This window comes from Homo sapiens, chromosome 22, assembly GCF_000001405.40.
Source record: "Homo sapiens chromosome 22, GRCh38.p14 Primary Assembly".
In the NCBI taxonomy this organism is placed as follows: domain Eukaryota; kingdom Metazoa; phylum Chordata; class Mammalia; order Primates; family Hominidae; genus Homo; species Homo sapiens.
In genome coordinates this window covers 37,764,171-37,784,027 of record NC_000022.11, presented here as the reverse complement: position 1 = coordinate 37,784,027, position 19,857 = coordinate 37,764,171, and the positions used below count along the sequence as shown (strand labels likewise).

Genomic DNA, 19,857 nt, shown 5'->3' with positions numbered 1-19,857 from the left:
ACACAGCCACGTGGGAGCAGCTGGAATGTGGCTCTGGAGATGCCACAGTTGAGGTCACAGCTAGTAGATGACACAGACTTTCAGCAACTGAATGAGTGAAGAGGGGAGAGACTGCATGAGATTGGAGTTGGGTTGTGGGGACACCCTGGGGTGGGGGCCAGGGACACCTATAAACCTGTCTTCCTCAGGAGATGGTGAGAATCTGCTGGAGTCCAAAGGGTCAGGGCCAGCCAGGCCCCTGTGAAGTTCTCCCTGTAGCGCCTCCCACCCCCACATCAGTGCATCCATGTCACACTGCTGGTGGGGCAAGTCCACCATCTGTCACCTTTCAGACACATTTGGCCAGTGCAGTCAGCTGCCCCACCCGAGAGTGGACACAGCCACATGGGAGCATCTGGGATGTGGCTCTGGAAATGCCACAGTCAAGGTCCCAGGGCCAGTGGATGGCCAAGCCAGGTGACCAACTTGAAGAAGCAGGTTCCTCCCACTCCGCCGGCCTGGTTGAGTCTTGGCCTTGAGAAGCCACAAGGGAGCTCATGGCGGGGAGACCAACTGGGGCCAGGATGGCCAGAGCTAGGGAGGGGCTGGGAGCAGCCCATGCAAGAGCTCAGGGGCTCTGGAAAGAAAGCGCGGTTGGCAGTCCCCGGGACGCAGGCGATGAAGGTGGAGCTGCGGGGTGGTGACAGGGCAAGGGCCAGCCAATCACACAGGCACCCCGAAACGCCTCCTGCCCTTTGCAGGGGGATCTAGCCTTTCTGGGCCCTTTGGGAATAAGCTGTTGCCCTGCTTTACTAGGAAACTGAGGCAGCAGTGTGGAAGTGGCTCCACATTGAGGCCTCCTCATGTGGCCTCCACATGAGGCTCATTCAAGTCAGCCTCACCAAGGTACACCCAGACCTCCCCCAATGCCTACCACAAGCAGGGGGAACCAAGGCACCTGGTCCCCAGGCAGCCTCCAATGAGAAGACCTGGGTCAGCTCAGGAGGCCACCTGGGCTGTGAGACCAACTGACCTGGCCGTCACCTCATTGTGCTGCTGAGTCCCGGCCCCCTACCGGGGACAACTGTGCTACCTCCCTCATCAGGCTGTTCTGGGAATTAAAGGAGCTTGTGAGTGAAAATGTTTGTTCCAGGGTCCAGCCCACAGTAAGTGCTCAGCAAAAAAAAAAAAGGCTTCGTGACTTTTAGGGAGGCACCCTAGGTAGGGAGGGGATTTGGGCTCTAGAGTCAGACCTGCTCGGATGTGAGTCACTAAATTATTGACCTTGGGTAAGTCATGTCCTTCTCTGAGCCTCAGTTTCCTCCTATAACAAGGGGAGAGCAATAAGTACTTCAAGGTGTTGTTGCGAGCATTAAAGGTTTGCCGTTCATCATGTTTGCTCGTGGCGGAAGCTCCATCAAAGTCAAGTCCCCTCGTAAAGTACTGTGGGACGCCGGGATGACAAGGGTGACTCACAGTTAAATCCTGGCCCTTTCGTGTACCGGAAACCTCCATTAGCCTCCAGCCCTTCAGGACGGCTGCCGGGCTTCCCAGTGGGTTTATGGGGACATCTGGTCCCTTGCCATTTGGTGTGGAGCTGAGGCTGTGGCTATTTCCTGCCTTGAGGGTGACTGACTCAGTGGTCATTCACTTCCAGTCAGTCAGTCCGTCAATCAACAAACACTCATCCCTCGGAGACAGACACCAGTGCTCTGTACTGGGCAGTGGGGACACAGAAGCGATTCAGAGCTGGTCCCTGGCCTCAGGGGGCTCACAGTCTGGGGGAGCCATAAGGAAAAAACATGTCAAGTTCCAAGTACTGTGGGATCCAGAGCAGGCTTCCATCCCCATCTAGGGGATCTTGGGGGGCTTCCTGGAGGTGGCAGATGATGACTGATCTGAGTCCTGAGTCTTAGGGGGTCTGCCGGGGAGGGGCTGGGAGTGGAAAGTGCATGCAGGGGGACGGCAGTGAGGATGGAAGAGTGCGCTACTGCTCCGTGCAGTGGAAGCCTGGAGCCTAGCGGATCCAAAGGGGTAGAGAAAGGAGACCACGGCAGACAGAGGGGCTTGCATGCCAGAACCCCATCCCAAGGGAACAGGGAGTCAGGGCAGAGATTCACAGAGGGGAGCAACATGGCCGCTCCCAGTTTTAGAAATCCCCCGCTGTGGGTGTGTGGATTGGACAGGAGGGAAAACCTGTCTGGGAATGAGGGAGGAGGCAAGCAGGGCAGGGGCATGGGGCCCAGGAACAGCAGCGGCCGAGAGAGGGAAGGGGAACCAGCCAGGGCTTGGTGGGGGTAGGGGAAGTCGGGCAGGACCCAGTGGCCAGGTCAAACCCTCCTGGACTGCCAGGTGCCCTTGACCTGCTGGGGGTCTGGGTGGTGCTGGGGCAAGATGTTGAGAGCTCTTTCCTAGCACAATTCTGCCAGCGGATCTACTGTGGAACCACCAGAGGGCCTGGCTCTGTGCCTCGCAGCACATCTTCCCCAACCCCAACAGAAAGGAAGCTCTGAAAAGTGACCTGTGGGCACCTGCCAACCTAGGAGGGACGGGTCGGGATTCTCACAGGCCATGGAACTGGGGCTTGGCCAACTGGAGCCGGATCTCCTGGGGACCTTGAGGGCAGCAACATCCAACTAATACTAAAGCAGCTCCAGACCAGGCGCCGTGGCTCAAGCCTGTAATCCCAGCACTTTGGGAGGCCAAGGCAGGCGGATCACAAGGTCAGGAGATTGAGACCATCCTGGCCAACATGGAGAAACCCGGTCTCTACTAAAAATACAAAAATTAGCCGGGCATGGTGGTGCGTGCCTGTAATCCCAGCTACTCAGAAGGCTGAGGCAAGAGAATTGCTTGAACCCAGGAAGCAGAGGTTGCAGTGAGCCGAGATTGTGCCACTGCACTCCTGTGTGGTGACAGAGTGAAACGCCGTCTCAAAAAAAATTAAAATAAAATAAAAATAAAGCAGCTCTAGGCTGGGCGCGGTGGCTCACGCCGGTAATCCCAGCACTTTGGGAGGCCGAGGCGGGCGGATCACGAGGTCAGATTGAGAGCATCCTGGCTAACACGGTGAAACACTGTCTCTACTAAAAAATACAAAAAATTAGCCGGGCTTGGTGGCAGGCGCCTGTAGTCCCAGCTACTCGGGAGGCTGAGGCAGGGGAACGGCGTGAACCCGGGAGGCGGAGCTTGCAGTGAGCAGAGATTGCGCCACTGAACTCCAGCCTGGGTGACAGAGCAAGACTCTGTCTCAAAATAAATAAATAAATAAATAAATAAATAAATAAATAAATAAATAAATAAAGCAAGCAGCTCTAAATCCTCCCTAATCCCGGCCCTGGGCCACATTTTTGACATGCCACCCCCCGCTTTTTTTTTTTTTTAGACAGAGTCTCGCTGTGCTGCCCAGACTAGAGTGCAGTGGCACGATCTCAGCTCACTGCAACCTCCCCCTCCTGGGTTCAAGGGATTCTCCTGCCTCAGCCTCCTGAGTTGCTGGGATCACGGGCGTGCGCCACCACACCTGGCTAGGTTTTGTGTTTTTAGTAGAGACGGGGTTTCACCACGTTGGCCAGGCTGGTCTCGAACTCCTGGCCTCAGGTGGTCCACCTGCATCTTCCTCCCAAAGTGCTGGGATTACAGGCGTGAACCACCGCGTCTGGCAACATGCACCTTTTCATCCAATCCTCACAACACCCAAACAGCAGCACATCACAATAGTCTTAACAGCTCACATGTACCTTGTTAACTCAGTCCCAGGCACCCTCTCAGCACTTCATACACATGAGCGCATTTCTCATCTTCATAATACTTCTGGGAGGGAGGTACTACTATCCCTGCTTTACAGATGAGGAAACGGAGGCACAGAGAGGTCATGTAACTTGCCCGGGTTGCAGAGCTGAGAGCAGGGGGACGGACGGAGGGCCATCTGACACCAGAGCCTGGGCGCTTCCCGCTCCATCACTCTGAAACATTCGCTCGCTTGGGCTGCTGGGAACCTCTCAGTTGCTTTACGGGCTTCTGCCCTTCCTCGGGGTTTCATCCTCTGTTCTTCTCTCCCACTGCACCAAACCCTAGGTCAACTTAGGGCCTTCCATAGCCCCCATGTGCTGAGGATGACCAAGATCGCTGTTCTGAGCCAAGGCACTGCTCACATAAAATTCCCCAATAGCCTCCCACTGGGTTAAGCACAAAGCTAGAGCTTGGACACATGACCCCCACTGTCCTTGCAAAATCAGATTCCAGCTCCAGCCTGTCCCCGCAGGCTCATCTCGAATCCCTCTACACACAAGCTGCAGCCATTTCAGAGCCTTTGAACTCTGCTGAGCTTCTGACGCTCACTGGACCTGGCACTCTCTCCCCCTCTCAGCCTAGCTCTATCCTGCTCGGTTCCAGCATCTCCTCTTCCAAGAAGCCTCCCCTGACCTTCCAGGCTGGGCCTGCTACACCCTCTGTGCTGTGGCTTCTTGTAATTAATCACCTGATTCCAATTTCACCTCCCTCCTGAAGGGAGAATGCTTGGTTCCATGTTGCATCCCCGGGGCCTACTCCAGAGGCTGACTCACGAGGCAGAATACACTGAACAGGAACGGGCTGCAGGGAGGACAGGGCCTTGATGGCAGCCTTAAGACTGAGGCTGACCAGGTCTTAGGAGTTCATGGAAAAGGTCTGGGCTGGAGACAGATGTGGATGGTTAGCACAGACAGTAACAAAAGCCAAGGATGAGAGATCAAGTTTTCACAAGAGGCCGGGCATGGTGGCTCACGCCTGTAACCCCAGCACTTTGGGAGGCCGAGGCAGGGGGATCACTTGAGGTCAGGAGTTCGAGACCAGCCTGGCCAACATGGTAAAACCCTGTCTCTACTAAAAATACAACAATTAGCCAGGTGTGGTGACGGCTGCCTGTAGTCCCAGCTACCCAGGAGGCTGAGGCAGGAGAATCCCTTGAACCTGGGTGGTGGATGTTGCAGTGAGCCGATTGTGCCATTGCATTCCAGACTGGGAGACAGAGTGAGACTCCGTCTCTAAGTAAGTAAATAAATAAGTCTTCACGAGAGAACAGAGGATTGCTGAGGACAGACTCCAGGGAAGCACATCAGAGGGCTGGGAAGAAAATGAGAATTCCACATAGGGGACTAAAGAGGAGCTGGGGTGTAGCTGAAGCAGAAACAGAGGAAAAAGATGGCTGCCAGTGAACCACACCTCCGGCGCTCAGGCCCTGCTGCCGCCTCTCCCATTGGACCTGGGCTGGCTGTGCGACTCATTTTTGACTAAAGTGATGGAAGGGATGCTGCAGCACCTCCAAGCCAAATTCATAAGAAGCTCGTAGGTTCCACTTGGGGCTGTTGAGGCTCCCTTTACTTTTTATTGTTTTTATTTTTTTAGAGATGGGTCTCACTCTGTTGCCCAGGCTGGAGTGCGGTGGCAGCAATCACAGTTCACTGCAACCTCCAACTCGTGGGCTCAAGCAATCATCCTGCCTCAGCCTCCCAAGTAGCTGGGACTCCAGGCACATGCATCACCATGCCTGGCTTTTGTTTTGAGAAGGAGTCTCACTCTGTTCCCTAGGCTGGAGTGCAGTGGCGCAATCTCAGCTCACTGCAACCTCCGCCTCCCAGGTTCAAGTGATTTCCCTGCCTCAGCCTCCTGAGTAGCTGGGATTACAGGTGCATGCCACCATGCCTGGTTAATTTTGTATTTTTAGTAGAGATGGGGTTTCTCCATGTTGATCAGGTTGGTCTCGAACTCCTGACCTCAGGTGATCTGCCTGCCTCGGCCTCCCAAAGTGCTGGGATTACAGGTGTGAGCCACCTCACCCGGGCTGCTTGGCTATTGTTTTTTTGTTTTTTTAATTTCTTGTAGATACGAGGTTTTGCTGTGTTGCCCAGGCTAGTCTCGAACTAACTCTTGGCCTCAAGTGATCCTCCTGCCTCGGGCTCCTGAAGTGCTGGATATACAGTCGTGAGCCACTGTACCTGGCCAGAACTCCTCTTCTAGGGGGAAGTCAACCACAATGTAGGAAGTCAGATTGTCCCAAGTCCACTATGCTGTAAGGAGCCCAAGCTAGCCCCGTGAAGTGGCCATGTGGAGAAAGATGTCCAGGCCGGGCACGGTGGCTCACGCCTGTAATCCCAGCACTTTGGGAGGCCAAGGTGGGTGGATTACTTGAGGTCAGGAGTTTGAGACCAGCCTGGCTAATGTGGTGAAACCCCATTTCTACTAAAAACATAAATAATTAGCTGGGCGTGGTGGCGGGCACCTGTAATCCCAGCTACTTGGGAGGCTGAGGCAGGAAATCACTTGAAGCCAGGAGGCAGAGGTTGCAGTGAGCCGAGATCACACCACTGCACTCCAGCCTGGGCGGCAGAGCGGGACTTTATCTCAAAAAAAGACACAAAGAGGTTGAGCCAGGTCAACCCACAGGACCATGAATATTTAAAAAGTGGTATTCTAGGCCATTACATATGTGGTTGTTGGCGACACAGCAATAGATAACTGAAACAGTTGGTAATTTAACACCTACACAGTCCTCTGGGGTAGACGTTATTGTTCCCATTTATCAGAAGAGGAAGTAAAGCCCAGAGAGAGATGTGACTCAGTAAGGCTCACCTAGCCAGCTGGAGGCAGCAGGTAGGGTTTGACCTGGCAGGTTCATCTGAAACCAGTTTGTTTTCTTTACAGAGCACATGCCTGGCTGCCTGAAGCAGTTGACCAGAACTTGCAGCCAAACCACGTGGTTTTGGTCAAATTCCCTGCGGCCGCGGTGACAGGGCCATTTCCCAGGTGGCTCATCTGGGAGCCTGCTGGAACCCTGGCTTATTCTTTTGTAAAGCAGGCTTCTTCCCACCCCCTGCACCATTGAGACGTGATTCACACATAGTAAAAATGAACAAATCGTAAGTGCAAGGCGTGGCATTTTTTTTTTTTTTTAAACAAAGTCTCGCTGTGTCATCCAGGCTGGAGTGCAATGGCGCGATCTGGGCTCACTACAACCTCCGCCTCCCGGGTTCAAGCAATTTTCCTGCCTCAGCCTCCCGAGTAGCTGGGATTACAGGCATGCGCCAGCAAGCCCGGCTAATTATTTGTATTTTTAGTAGAGACGGGGTTTCGCCATGTTGGCCAGGCTGGTCTCGGAACTCCTGAGTTCAGGTCATCCACCTACCTTGGCCTCCCAAAGTGCTGGGATTATGCCTGGCCGGCATGGTGAATTTTTACATCTGTATGTACCCACGTGACCACAACCCAGACCATGATATAGAACATTTCTGGGATCAGAATGTTCCCTTTTGCCCACTGCTGGTCAATGCCCTCAGCTCAGAGGTACCCGCTCTTCTGACCACTATCACCGTGTTTTGTCTGTTCTTGAACCTCACCTAAATAAAATCGTACAGCCTTACACTCTTCTGTGGCTATTTTTGCTCAACATTGTGTCTGAAAGATTCACCAACATTTTTGTGTGTAGCAGTTGTTTTTAAATTGCTGTATTCTAACGTATGAATCGACCACAATTTATTCATTCTACTACTGACACACAGCTGTATTGTTTATTTGCTGATGTGAGTATTACGGTACTCATCCTTTTGTGCATGTAAGGACTCATTTCTCCTGGATGTGTAAGCAAGAGTGGAAATGCTAGGCCATAGGGTAGATGCGTATTTAACTTGATGAGAAGCTGGTCAGTTTCCTGCCGTGGGTGCAACAAAGCACATTTGCACCAGCAGCGCCTGGGAGCTGCTCTTCTCCGTATCCCCACCAGCACTTGGTACTGGCAGACCTTCTCCTCTGAGCTATTCTGATAGTGGGGCAGTGCGATTTCACGGTTTTTAATGAGATGTGGAGCACCTTTCAGAGGCTGGCCTGGTTTTTGTAGCTGCCCTAGGCAGCCCTGAGGAGGGATGGGAGGGGGGTTGGTGAAGAGGATGTTCCTGCAACCCAGGTGTGAGACGGGGGAGCCCTGAGTTAGGTTGAGGCTAGAAGGGAGGCAGAGGATGGGATGGAGAGCTGTCTTGGGGGGACGGTGGGATGGTGAGGATGGACGGCAGAGCTGCCAGTGGCAGGCATCCCATCTCCCAGTGGCTAGGAACACTCCTGATCTCCTAAGGCAAGCAGTGCCGAGACAGGGCAGCACAAGGCCGGAGGATTTGATGGCACGGGGTCCTGGCTCTTTCTTCTTTGCCATTTTTAGCTATTGATGAGGGAAGATGGCGACAGGGCCAGGAGAGAGGTGTCCTCTCCTTGCGCCACCCTCCCCCTTTTTTTTTGAGATGGAGTTTCGCCCTTGTCACACAGGCTGGAGTGCAGTGGCGCGATCTTGGCTCACTGCAACTTCTGCCTCCTGGGTTCAAGTGATTCTCCTGCCTCAGCCTCCTGAGTAGCTGGGATTACAGGTGCTTGGCACCACGTCTGGCTAATTTTTTGTATTTTTAGTAGAGACGGGGTTTCACCATGTTGGCCAGGCTGGTCTCGAACTCCTGACCTCAAGTGATCCCCCTGCCTTGGCCTCCCAAAGTGCTAGGATAATAGGCAAGAGCCACCGCGCCCGGCCTCTTGTGCCTCTTTTTAAGACCAAGGACACCCTTCCCAGATGACCTCCTCCACCCCACTCCCAAGACTTCCCCTCGCATTTCACTGGCTTGCGTGAACTGCAAGCCTTGTCCATTCCTCAACCAATCCCTGGCAAGGGAATGGGAAACAATCTCTTCCCACTCCACGAGGTCACTCTCCTGTGGCTCTTTGCCTGAACACACCAGGGACGTTTGCTCCTGCTGGTGCCTCCACGTGGGAAGGCCCTTCCTGATTCTTCCATCTGGAAGAGTCATCTTTCAAAGCTGCCTCCAAAGGCAGTCTTCTACCTGCAGGCTGGGTCAGGGTCTCCTCTGGGTTCTCACAGCCTTCCAGGACCCCTACTGGATGTGGCCTGTTTCTGTGGCTCAGAAATGGGACCTCTTCCCAGCCCCATGCAACCATAATCAGCACAGCCAGCCATGGTGAGGACTCCCAGCCCGCTGGACCTGTGCCTGGCAGCCACAACCCTGCCCTCACCCCTGCCCAGGGCTGGGCATGACCTCTGGGAAAAGCCTCAGGAGAGGACTGGGACTGAAAGAAAAACACCCATTTGATGGAGAAGCAAACTGAGGCTCAGTGAGGGGTGTGACTTGCCCAAGGTCATGGTCAGGGCTAGTCTTAGCCCCAGGCCTCTCTCTCAGGCCTGGGCCCTGGGCCCTACTCCAGGGCTCCTCAGACTTTGAAGGTCACGTGAATCACTGGGGCACCCTGTTAAAATGCAGACGCTGGTTCAGTAGGTTGGGGTGGGACTGGACTTGCTATTTCCCACATGCTTCCGCTGCCACTAGCCTGCAAGCCACACTGGGGGCGTCACAGTCTGTACTAAGGGAGACCTTGGATTTTCAGCCCCACCCTCAGAAGCCTAGAGGCCGCTGCTTTAGGAAGGGTGGGGTGTGGGTAGGGTGTGAGTGGGGAAGCCACTTCAAGAAACCCCAATCTCCATTCCTGTTCTGCCAGCCATCTAGGACACCAGAGCTGCTGGAACGTTTTATTAAGTTAAGAGGTTCAGGGAGCAGAAGAGAAACACCTTTTGGGTGGCTCTGGCGGTTCTGCACCCAGCACAGCCTCGAAGGAGGCTGTGGGGCCATGGAGGCCAGCTGCTAGCTCCCTCTGTCCTGAGCCCCATGGTACGGGTCCAAATGGGGCAGGAAGTGTTAGTAGGAGGTAGGGCAGGAAGAGGGTGGCAGGCTCCCGCCTCTCCCCTGTAGAGACACCCCGCCATGGCTGCTGCCTGGGCCTCCGCCAGACCTCTGGGCCAGGGCCACCAGCTCAGAAGCCCAAGCAGAGGGTGGCTGGAGACAGAGGGGGACCAGGGTTGGAGGCACACAGCCACCAGGAATTGCTTTTTTTTTTTTTTTTTAAAGTATAAAGTGTTTTGGAAAAAAAGGAAAAAAATCTATATAAAAATCTCTTCACATATAAAATCCTGAAGAAGGTGCAAGGTGAGACCCAGTGCGAGGGGCGCGCTCAGATATGCAGTGTGTGTGTGTGTGTGTGTATCCGTGTGTACATGTGTGCACGTGTGTGCGTATGTGTCTGTGTGTCTGTGTGTGTGTGTGTGTGTGTGTGTGTGTGTGTGGTGGGTGCAAGTGCACGTGTGGCCCACAGAGGGTGGGGAGAAAGCTTGGCTTTTTACTTCCATCCAGGAGGGAAGGAGGGCGGCTGGTCCTCCAGCCTGGAGGGTCTGCAGCTGGGCGGGACCTGAAAGACAAGGTGCGGCAGGGCTGAGGCCTGGGCTGAGGGGCTGCGAGGCCACCCCAAGGCCAAGCAAGGGTGCTGAGTGGGTCCTTCCACCACCTCTCAGCCCCTAAGGTACAGCCAGATCCGCTCTTCCTGGCTCCTTCCCAAGCAGCTCAGCCATAGGGTGGCCTCTCCTGCATGCCATAGGAAGTCCATGAGGACTTATCAGAAAGAGGATGCTCCAGGTAGATGTGGCGTTGAAAAAGCAAAAATAAGAACACTTTGGCCAGGTGCAGCGGCTCACACCTGTAATCTCAGAATTTTGGGAGGCTGAGGCAGGTGTATTGCTTGAGCCCAGGAGTTCGAGACCAGCCTGGGAAATCACGGCGAAACCCCACCTATACAAAAAGTGCAAAAATTATCTGGGCATGGTGGTGAGGGCCTGTGGTCCCAGCTACTCAGAAGGCTGAGGTGGGAGGATCCCTTGAGCCTAGGAGGTTGAGGCTGCAGTGAGCCGTGATTGCACCACTGCACTCCAGCCTGGGTGTCAGAGTAAGACCTTTCTCAAAGCAACCAAAACCAACCAACCAACCAACCAACCAACCAACCAACCAACCAACCAACCACTTTGAGCCCTGCTAAGTCAAGAAGGAGTGTTAAGACTAACTGGGATAGAAGCCCGGCCTCAGCGTGCGATGTGTGTGTGTGAAGCTCAGTGGAGATTCACTGTGGGGGTCAGGGATGTGCACGCTGCATTTGCCTCCAGCCCCAAGAAGGGGGGTGCACTGAGTAGGCTGTGGCTCTGCACTGTGCCGCCCAGCTCTGGAGGAACAGGCTTAAGCTGATGAAGCAGCCTGTGGCCCGGGTCTGATGGGATCTCTGCAACAACCCCGTGTTGCTGGTTTCATTGTCCTTTTTACAGAACGGGAATTGGAGGCCAGAAGAAGGAAGTGGCCTGGCTGGGGTGGTCCAGGGAGTCCCGGGTGTGGGAGAGCCTCAGCCCCTGCCCACCCTGCAGGGCACACGCCTCGGCATCCACCTCTACTCAGCCAGGCTGTTGCGCATCGACTCCTTCTCCTGGAGGGCGGCCATGGCAAGACGCAGGTGCTCCTTCAGCTGCTCGATCTCCCGCTCAGACCGTGTCTTGATGTGGCTCAGCTCCACATAGACGTCCTGGTACTTTCCCGAGGTGAAGCGCTTGTCCTGGGGGGCAGGAGGCAGGTATGAGGGCATGAAGTCTCTCCCTCCAGCCCTGCCAACCGGGCACATGGGCAGCACCAGCAGCCAGACCTCCCCGCAGATACCTCGCTTCATCCCTCCAGGTGGCTCCCCAAGATGGCCGTGGGTTCTGGGCTTACCCCTCCCACCTCCCTGGTACCACCCAGGGACACAGGCGTCATTGTCATCCTCATCCTGTTTCGGGGGAGAAGATTTTGACCAAGACCGCAGGGCAGTGAGTGGCTGGGATGAGAACCAGGTCAGCCTGGCTGGGTGCTCGGGCCCTTCCTGTGAGTTCACGCCACCTGTTCTTCAAGTGCGGTAAACACGGTCTGGCTCACGTGCACTTACAGAGCCACCAACATGTCCACTTCCTGCCCCAAACTGACAGAGCGCACCAGGCAGTGACATAGCAGCCAAGGGTGGGCCAGGCGGGCTGCAGACTCAGACCTGGGCTGAACCCTGACCCACCCAACTCCTAGCAACGTGGTTATTCTCACTGGAGTGCAAGCTCCCCACAGCAGAGATTTGGGGTTATTTTGTTCACATCTGTCTTCCCAGCACCTAGCACAGTGCCCAGGATATAGTAGGTGCTCAATAATAATCAATAAATTAAATAATGCTAAATAAACAGAAGCCAAGTACAGCCTTGGGGAAGTCACTTCCCCTTTCTTAGTCTCAGTTTCCCTGTCAGTGAATGGGGATGATGACACCTACATGGGAGAAGCACAGGAGAGCCTGAGGAAGGATGAAGCGAGTGGAGGGCTTGGCACAGAGCAGGTGCTCACAGGATGGCATCCAGATGGCTCCAGAGTCCCCGACGGCCCCCAGCCCAGCGGAAGGACCTACCTTCTGCATCATCTGGAGCTCGTCCCGGAGGCACTGCACCTCCTTCTTTAGGTACTGGAGTTCGTTTTCTTTTACGCGAAGCAGCACCTGGGGATATAGGTGCTGGACTGACCCAGGGCCAGAAGCCAGAGCTACCCTGGCCCATAGTGCCCTGCAGCCCGGGTTCTCTCTGCCTCAGGCCCCTAGAATGCAGCCCCTATCTGCACAAAAACCCTCTACATCCTGGAGGCGGACTCCTCCAGGAAGCCCTCTCCGATTCCCCTGCTTTGCCTTCCCTTACTCTCACCCCTGTCCAGCCCGTGTGAGTGGATATCTCACGGTCAAGTCTGCTGCAGCCCTCATGCAGCACCAGGCTCTCACCTCGGGAGTGAGATGGATGAAAAGAAGCCCTACATAAACCTGAGCAGGCTGAACCACTCCACAAGGCACCTCATTAACCCCTCCCCAACCCCGAGGGCTAGGTGCTGCTGACTTGACCAAGGAGGAAACAAGTTCAGCCAGGACTGGGGAGGCTTAAAAGCTCAGACTGGAGCCAGACTGCCTGGTTCAAATCCCAGTCCAGCTATAAAAGCTTTGGTAAGGTACTTGACCTTCCTGTGCCTCAGTTTCCTCATCTGTAAATGGGGACAGTCATAGTAGCTAATGTATGGAGCTGTCAGGAAGATTAGATGAGTTAACAGACAAAAAGGGCTTCCAGAATTTCTAGGTACAGAGTGAGCCTCACCTAAGTGTTTGTTGAAGAAATAAAATATTGGGGCCAGGAGCGGTGGCTCACGCCTGTAATCCCAGCACTTTGGGAGGCAGAGGCGGGCGGATCACGAGGTCAGGAGATTGGGACCATCCCGGCTAACATGGTGAAACCCCGTCTCTACTAAAAATACAAAAAATTAGCCAGGTGTGGTGGCGGGTGCCTGTAGTCCCAGCTACTCGGGAGGCTGAGGCAGGAGAATGGCATGAACCCGAGAGGCGGAGCTTGCAGTGAGCCGAGATGGTGCCACTGCACTCCAGCCTGGGTGACAGAGTGACTCCGTCTCAAAAAAAAAAAGAGAAATAAAATATCGGCTGGGCACGGTGGCTCACGCCTGTAATCCCAACACTTTGAGAGGCCGAAGTGGGCGGATCACCTGAGGTTGGGAGTTCGAGAAGAGCCTGACCAACATGGAAAAACCCTGTCTCTACTAAAAATACAAAATTATCCAGGCGAGGTGGCACATGCCTGTAATCCTAGCTACTTGGGAGGCTGAGGCAGGATAATCGCTTTTTTTTTTTAATATTTTTTTTTTTTTTGAGACGGAGTCTCGCTCTGTCACCCAGGCTGGAGTGCAGTGGCACGATCTCGGCTCACTGCACGCTCCGCCTCCCAGGTTCATGCCATTCTCCTGCCTCAGCCTCCGGAGTGGCTGGGACTACAGGCACCCGCCACCGCGCCCGCCACCACGCCCGGGTAATTTTTTTGTATTTTTAGTAGAGACGGGGTTTCACTGTGTTAGCCAGGATGGTCTTGATCTCCTACCTCGTGATCTGCCCGCCTCGGCCTCCCAAAGTGCTGGGATTACAGGCGTGAGCCACCGCGCCCGGCCAGGAGAATCGTTTTAACCTGGGAGGCGGAGGTTGTGGTGAGCCGAGATCGCGCCACTGCACTGTAGCCTGGGCAACAACAGCAAAACTCTGTCTCAAAAAAAAAAAAAAAGTAAAGAAATAAATACTAAGGCCGGGTGTGGTGGCTCATGCTGTAATCCCAGCACTTTGTGAGGCCAAGGTAGGCAGATCACTTGAGGTCCGGAGTTCGAGACCAGCCTGGCCAACATAGTGAAACTTGTCTCTACCAAAAATATAAAAAATTAGCTGGGTGTGGTGGTGCAGGCCTGTAATCCTAGCTACTTGGGAGGCTGAGGCAGGAGAATCGCTTGAACCAGGGAGGCAGAGGTTGCAGTGAACTGAGATCGTGTCACTACACTCCAGCCTGGGTGACAGAGAGAGACTCTGTCTCAAAAAAAGAAAGAAAGAAAAAGAAAGAAAATACTACAGTGATACTGGCATCACACACATACACACATATTTTCTTACCCCAATATTTCCCAGTAAGGAAGGTGCTGGTGCCATTTTACAGATGAGCTACTGGGACTCAGAAAAGTGGAGTGATTTGCTATGGTACACGGCAGGTAGGTGACACAATGCAGGTGGGAGGGCAGAATGCTGGCTACTGGATGCACAGTAGGTGTTCTAGCCTAGTCAGGCTGGCCCAGCCACTGGGAGACTTGGCTTTCCTGCCACAGGTGATACCCAGCCTATGGCGGGGGTGCCCCATAGCCCCGGGCCCCGAGAACCACTGGGCTGCCTGGTGCTAGTGAGGACACTCACCTCTAGCTCGCAGGAACTCCGCTCGTTGCTGCGCCCGCAGCCATTGCCCATGCCCTGCGAGGCAATGAAGCCGCGCAGCTGGTCTATCTCCTCTGACAGGCGGCCATGCAGCTCCTGGGAGAGGCACGGTGGTCAGGGGAGGGGTGCCGGGACCCACCCGTGTCCCCCCAACCTGGGGCCAGGCCCACCTGGTTGTGGCGCAGCAGCTCCTGGCCCTCCTGCTGGCAGCGGCGCAGCGTGTGCTCGCGCTCCTCAGCCTGCCGCATGAGTGCCCCAATCTCCAGGCACTTCTGCGAGTACTGCTCCGATAGCACCTGCAGCTCTCGCTTCAGTGCCTCCACATCTGACCTGCCCCAGAGGAGGAGCAGAGGAGAGCATAGGTTGTCTTGCTCCTGCCAAGCCTGGAGTCCAGTCAGGTAGACTTAAAGCATCCCAGGACTCTGGGGTTCCCTCTCTAGGTTTGCCTTTAGCCTGCTGTGGGGCTGTGAACCAGTGACAGCTTCTCTGGGCTACAGGTGTTTACCCTAAGTGAGGGTGGCTTGGAGGAGCCCATCTTTTTTTTTTTTTTTAGATGGAGTCTTGCTCTCACTCTTGTTGCCCAGGCTGGAATACAATGGCACAATCTTGGCTCACTGCAACCTCTGCCTCCTGGGTTCAAGCGATTCTCCTGCCTCAGCCTCCCAAGTAGCTAGAATTGCAGGCTCCCGCCACCACATTCAGCTAGCTTGTATTTTTAGTAGAGATGGGGTTTCACCATGTTGGCCAGGCTAGTCTCGAACTCCTGATCCCAGCCTCCCAAAGTGCTGGGATTACAGGCATGAGCCAATGTGCCCGGCTGGAGGGGCCCATCTTTAAAGTTAAAGCCCCTGAAACCTCAACATTCCAAAACTGTGCTCTGGGGCAGGGAGAGGCCTAGTGGTCAACAGTGACACTGCAGCCCAGCTCCAGGGGAGACTAAAGGGGTGAAGAGGTGGGTGGAGGCTGGGACCAGCCAAGACAAGAAGCTGCCTGAAGGACTGTCTGTGAGGACTGGCATGGGGTCTGCCTGAGGACCTTCTGCTTCTGTTTCTTGCATCCATGAGACTGGAGCAGGAATCTCAGCTAGGGGCAAACTGATGTGTCCGCTGCCAAGGGGCCTCAGCAAAGTTCCTCAACCCATAACCATCAGGGTGGGCAGTTGGGCCCCGGCATCATCTTACTGGTGCTGCTTCCGGAGGCCATCCGGGCCCTGCTGGAGACTCCGTGTTTTGCTCAGCTCTCGGCTCAGCTCTTCCTGGTAGGCCTTCTTCATGGCTTCAATGGCTGGAAGCAGGGCAGAGAGGCACAAGAGAGACTGGAGGGGGGTCAGCAGCACCAAGTGCCACCAGCTCTGAGACGCCACATGTACTGGTGGAGTACTATGTGGACTCCACATAGTACTATGCAAGTACTATGGACTTGGACCAAGGAGTGCTATGCAAAGAGCACCGAACCAGGAGTCTAGAGTAGCCCAGGTTGTGTCATAAACTGAGTGGCTTGGGGTAAGCTCTCAACCTCTCTCAGCCCATCTATTAAGGGAAGATAATCCTGTTGGATGGACCCTACTGGGGAGACAGCTCAGGGTCTGACCATTGGTACCTCCTGTTCTAGTGATTTCCAGGTAGGACCCCACCTAGTACACCCCCCCTGCAGACTCTGAGGGCTCTCAAACAAGGCCTATCTGCTTTGACCAGCCTCGTGGTCAAGAGCTCAGGCTCCACAGTCAGCATAAACCGATGTGACTTTGCACAGGTGACTTAACCCCTTGTGCCTCAGATCCCTTATCTGGAAAACAGGGATCGATAACAACAGTACCTTTCCTCCATGGGGTTATTGGAAGGTGTGTGAAGAATTTAGAACAAAGCATGGCTCAGAGTAAATGCCCCAACATTAGCTCCTGCTGGCTTTATTCTCAGATTGTGAGCTCCTAAGGACTGAGACCGAGGCTTTTTTTTTCCCACTCAGGGCCACCCATGGTTTTACCCACAATTCTAAAATCCGAAACTTCTGAACATTGAAAGTTTCTCTCCTTTTTTTCTTTCTTTTTTTTTTTGAGACAGAGTCTCACTCTGTCACCCAGGAGACGGAGTCTCACTCTGTCACCCAGGAGACGGAGTCTCACTCTGTCACCCAGGCTGGAGTGCAGTGGCACAATCTTGGTTCACTACAACCTTTGCCGCCCACTTTCAAGCGATTCTCCTGCCTCAGCCTCCTGAGTAGCTGGGATTACACGCGCCTGCCACCGCGCATGGCTAATTTTTGTATTCATAGTAGAGACAGGGTTTCACCATCTTGGCCAGGCTGGTCTTGAACTCCTGACCTCGTGATGCACCTGCCTCGGCCTCCCAAAGTGCTGGGATTACAGGCATGAGCCACAGTGCCTGGCCTTTTTTTTTTTTGATGGAGTCTTACTCTGTCATCCAGGCTGGAGTGCAGTGGTGCAATCTCAGCTCACTGCAGCCTCTGTCTCCTGGGTTCAAGAGATTCTCCTGCCTTAGCCTCCTGAGTAGCTGGGATTGCAGCTGCCCACCATCACGCCCAGCTAATTTTTGTATTTTTAGTAGAGATGGGGTTTCACCATGTTGGCCAGGCTAGTCTCGAACTCCTGACCTCAGGTGATCTGCCCGCCTCAGCCTCCCAAAGTGCTGGGATTACAGGCATGAGCCACTGCACCGGGCCTCTGGTAAATCTTTTGGTGGCAATCCCCACCCTGAACGGACATGAGGCTATTTATGGTCTTTATTATTCCACTTAAGTGTGATTTTTATCCATTTCACAGCAGAAACCTTAGTGCCAGATTACAGGGCGAAGTCCAGACTCTGCTGAGGGGGAAGGGGTCTCTAACACACGCGGCTGCAAAGGCGATCTTCCTGAAATGCAGAGCACACTGGCCCCAAGGCTGGGTTCGAGTGCATGAGCACTTGGCACAGCACTGGCAGGTTGTGAGCTTCAGATCATGTGACATTGGCCAGCATTTCTATTGTTCTGCAAACCCCTAGTGATGCCTAGGAATGTGCCAGGCACACAGCAGGTGTGCGGTGGCAGGAGGGGAGGGAATTGTCCAGGATGAAGGGTGCTCCTGTGGGAAACATGTGGGGCCCAGTGCCTGGCACACAGCTGGCATGGACAATGCTCACACCTTCCCCTGCTCTCCCCAGGGTCTGGCCCATGTGCCCAGGGAGGAGGCACTCCTATGAGGACAGGGGATGCAGCTGATCAGCCTCTCCCCCACGCACGTGGGTAGCATGTGCCTTTAGGCAGACTCTATGGTGGCTGCAGGCCCCTGAGCAGGAAGAGTCACCACCTATGGTAGTGGTGGTGTTGGGGGTGGGGAGGGTATCTTTTACTGCCTCAGTTTCCCTTTTTAAGTAGGGCTACAGGCCAGTTCTTGGAGCTTCTAACACCTGCTGACCCTTTACCCCAAATGTGGCACTGAGACCCCTACATCTTATTTGATAAAATCCTCCCCAGTTTGGCTAGGAGGAACCTCAGCACAGAGGCTCAGAGCCCAGCCCACTGTGCCCCCCCCAGGGTCCATACCTGAGGCCGTGGCTGCCGTCTCCTCAGCCAGGAGCCACTCCTTCTCCTGCTGCAGGCGCTGCAGCTCCCGCTCGTGGTGCCGCTGCAGCTCCTCCATCACCTGCTGGTGCGAGGACTCCATCTCTGCCAGGCTGCGCTCACATGCCTCCTGTGGGCCGGACGCCAGGGTGTCACAGGCTGCCCCGTTCCTCTGGACAGCGGCCCTTCCCCAGCCTCCAGAGGAGAAGGCTCAGGGGCAGGTACACCACCTCCTCCTGGGTCCCAGCACCTCCAGTCTGCACCTGCTCCTGCTCCCACCCCCACCCCACGGCTCCTCATTCACAAACCTCACCTTGTCGCTCCTGCCTCAAGCCCTCCAGGGATTCCTCGTCCTACAGAGTCAAGTCCCCGTTCCCATGGCTGACCTTTACGTTCTCATCCCTGGCCTTTCTCTGCCAAGCAATCTCACAGTTACGGTTGCAGCACGTTCACACCTCTGAGCTTTAGCTATTCCCACTGCCTGGAATTTTGTGGTTTTTTTGTTTTTGTTTTTGTTTTTGAGACAGAGTTTTGTTCTGTCACCCAGGCTGGAGTGCAGTGGAGCAATCTCAGCTCACTGCAACCTCCACCTCTGGGTTCAAGTGATTCTTCTGCCTCAGCCTCGTGAGTAGCTGGGACTACAGGTGCCCACCACCACGCCCAGCTAATTTTTGTATTTTTAGTAGAGATGGGGTTTCACTGTGTTAGCCAGGATGGTCTTGAACTTCTGACCTTGTGATCTGCCGGCCTTGGCCTCCCAAAATGCTGGGATTACAGGCATGAGCCACTGTGCCCGGCCTGGAATGTTTTTTTGGCAACTTTACCTCCCTGGGTAATTTACTGACCTGCAGCCCAGTTTAAATGTCTCTCCTAGCTCTGTCTCTGGGCAGCCTCTCCCCTGCCTCAAAAGGTTCTACCTCTGCCAAACCATAAATTCCCTGAAGACTGAGAACATCTGACTGGCGCAGTCCCCAGGGTCTAGGCCAGGGCCTGACATGTGGCAGGTGCTCAGTAAATGAGCTGAAACTGATGATGTAATACAAAATAATGCTTAGTAGACAAGATGGGCAAGTATCTCAGACTAATAATACCCACTGCTGGGAGTGTCCGCCACAACGGTGTGTGTTGGGGGTGGTCCGGTGGCATCATCACATTTTGCGACCCCACTGGTTGACCTAGTAGGTTCACTCCCAGAAATGATCCCACAGAAAGTCGTATGTGTACAGAGACTTTTGGAACAAGGGTATTCCCTACAGCCAGGTTGGTAACAGATGAAAACTGGAAACAATCTAAATCCCTATCAGGGGAACTCTTGAATAAATGATGGGATCGAGCTTGACAATGGGACACAGGCAGCTGCTAGACAGAGTTTTTGTGTGGATGCTGTGGAAAAAGATCCCAAAATGAGGTGGTGAAAGTTGGCTTCTGACATACACGTGGTATGATCTCACTCACGGGAACAAACGTGCAGACCTGTCCGTCCCAGTGAATGGAAAACACAGAAAACACAGAAAAGGTAGGGAGGATATTGTAGGGGGCAGAATGATAGCCCCTCAAAGTTGTCCACATCTTACTCCCAGGATCTGTGACTACATCATGTTACATGGCAAAGAGGAATTCAGGCTGCAG

The 19,857-nt window shown here is 54.4% G+C and overlaps 1 protein-coding gene across 2 annotated transcripts in view, besides 1 other annotated feature; it reads right to left on the bottom strand.

The window, feature by feature from the left end:
* Positions 1,793 to 2,292: an enhancer, noted in NCBI's record as "H3K4me1 hESC enhancer chr22:38177743-38178242 (GRCh37/hg19 assembly coordinates)". NCBI's record gives its function as "activates a minimal SCP1, AML or CMV promoter by ChIP-STARR-seq in naive H9 embryonic stem cells {active_cell/tissue: H9 hESC(naive)}" and the evidence as "EXISTENCE:reporter gene assay evidence [ECO:0000049][PMID:30033119]".
* Positions 7,472 to 19,857, bottom strand: part of TRIOBP (TRIO and F-actin binding protein) — a 79,509-nt gene continuing 67,123 nt past the window's right edge. For both annotated transcript variants that reach the window (NM_001039141.3, NM_007032.5), the window contains 7 exons: positions 18,211 to 18,358; positions 15,852 to 15,954; positions 14,841 to 15,000; positions 14,653 to 14,766; positions 12,292 to 12,378; positions 11,264 to 11,427; positions 7,472 to 10,245 (listed from right to left, as the gene is read on the bottom strand). In NM_001039141.3, the coding sequence (NP_001034230.1) occupies positions 11,266 to 11,427; positions 12,292 to 12,378; positions 14,653 to 14,766; positions 14,841 to 15,000; positions 15,852 to 15,954; positions 18,211 to 18,358 (774 nt within the window). In that variant the 3' untranslated portion in view covers positions 7,472 to 10,245; positions 11,264 to 11,265. The remainder of the gene's footprint in view (positions 10,246 to 11,263; positions 11,428 to 12,291; positions 12,379 to 14,652; positions 14,767 to 14,840; positions 15,001 to 15,851; positions 15,955 to 18,210; positions 18,359 to 19,857) is intronic.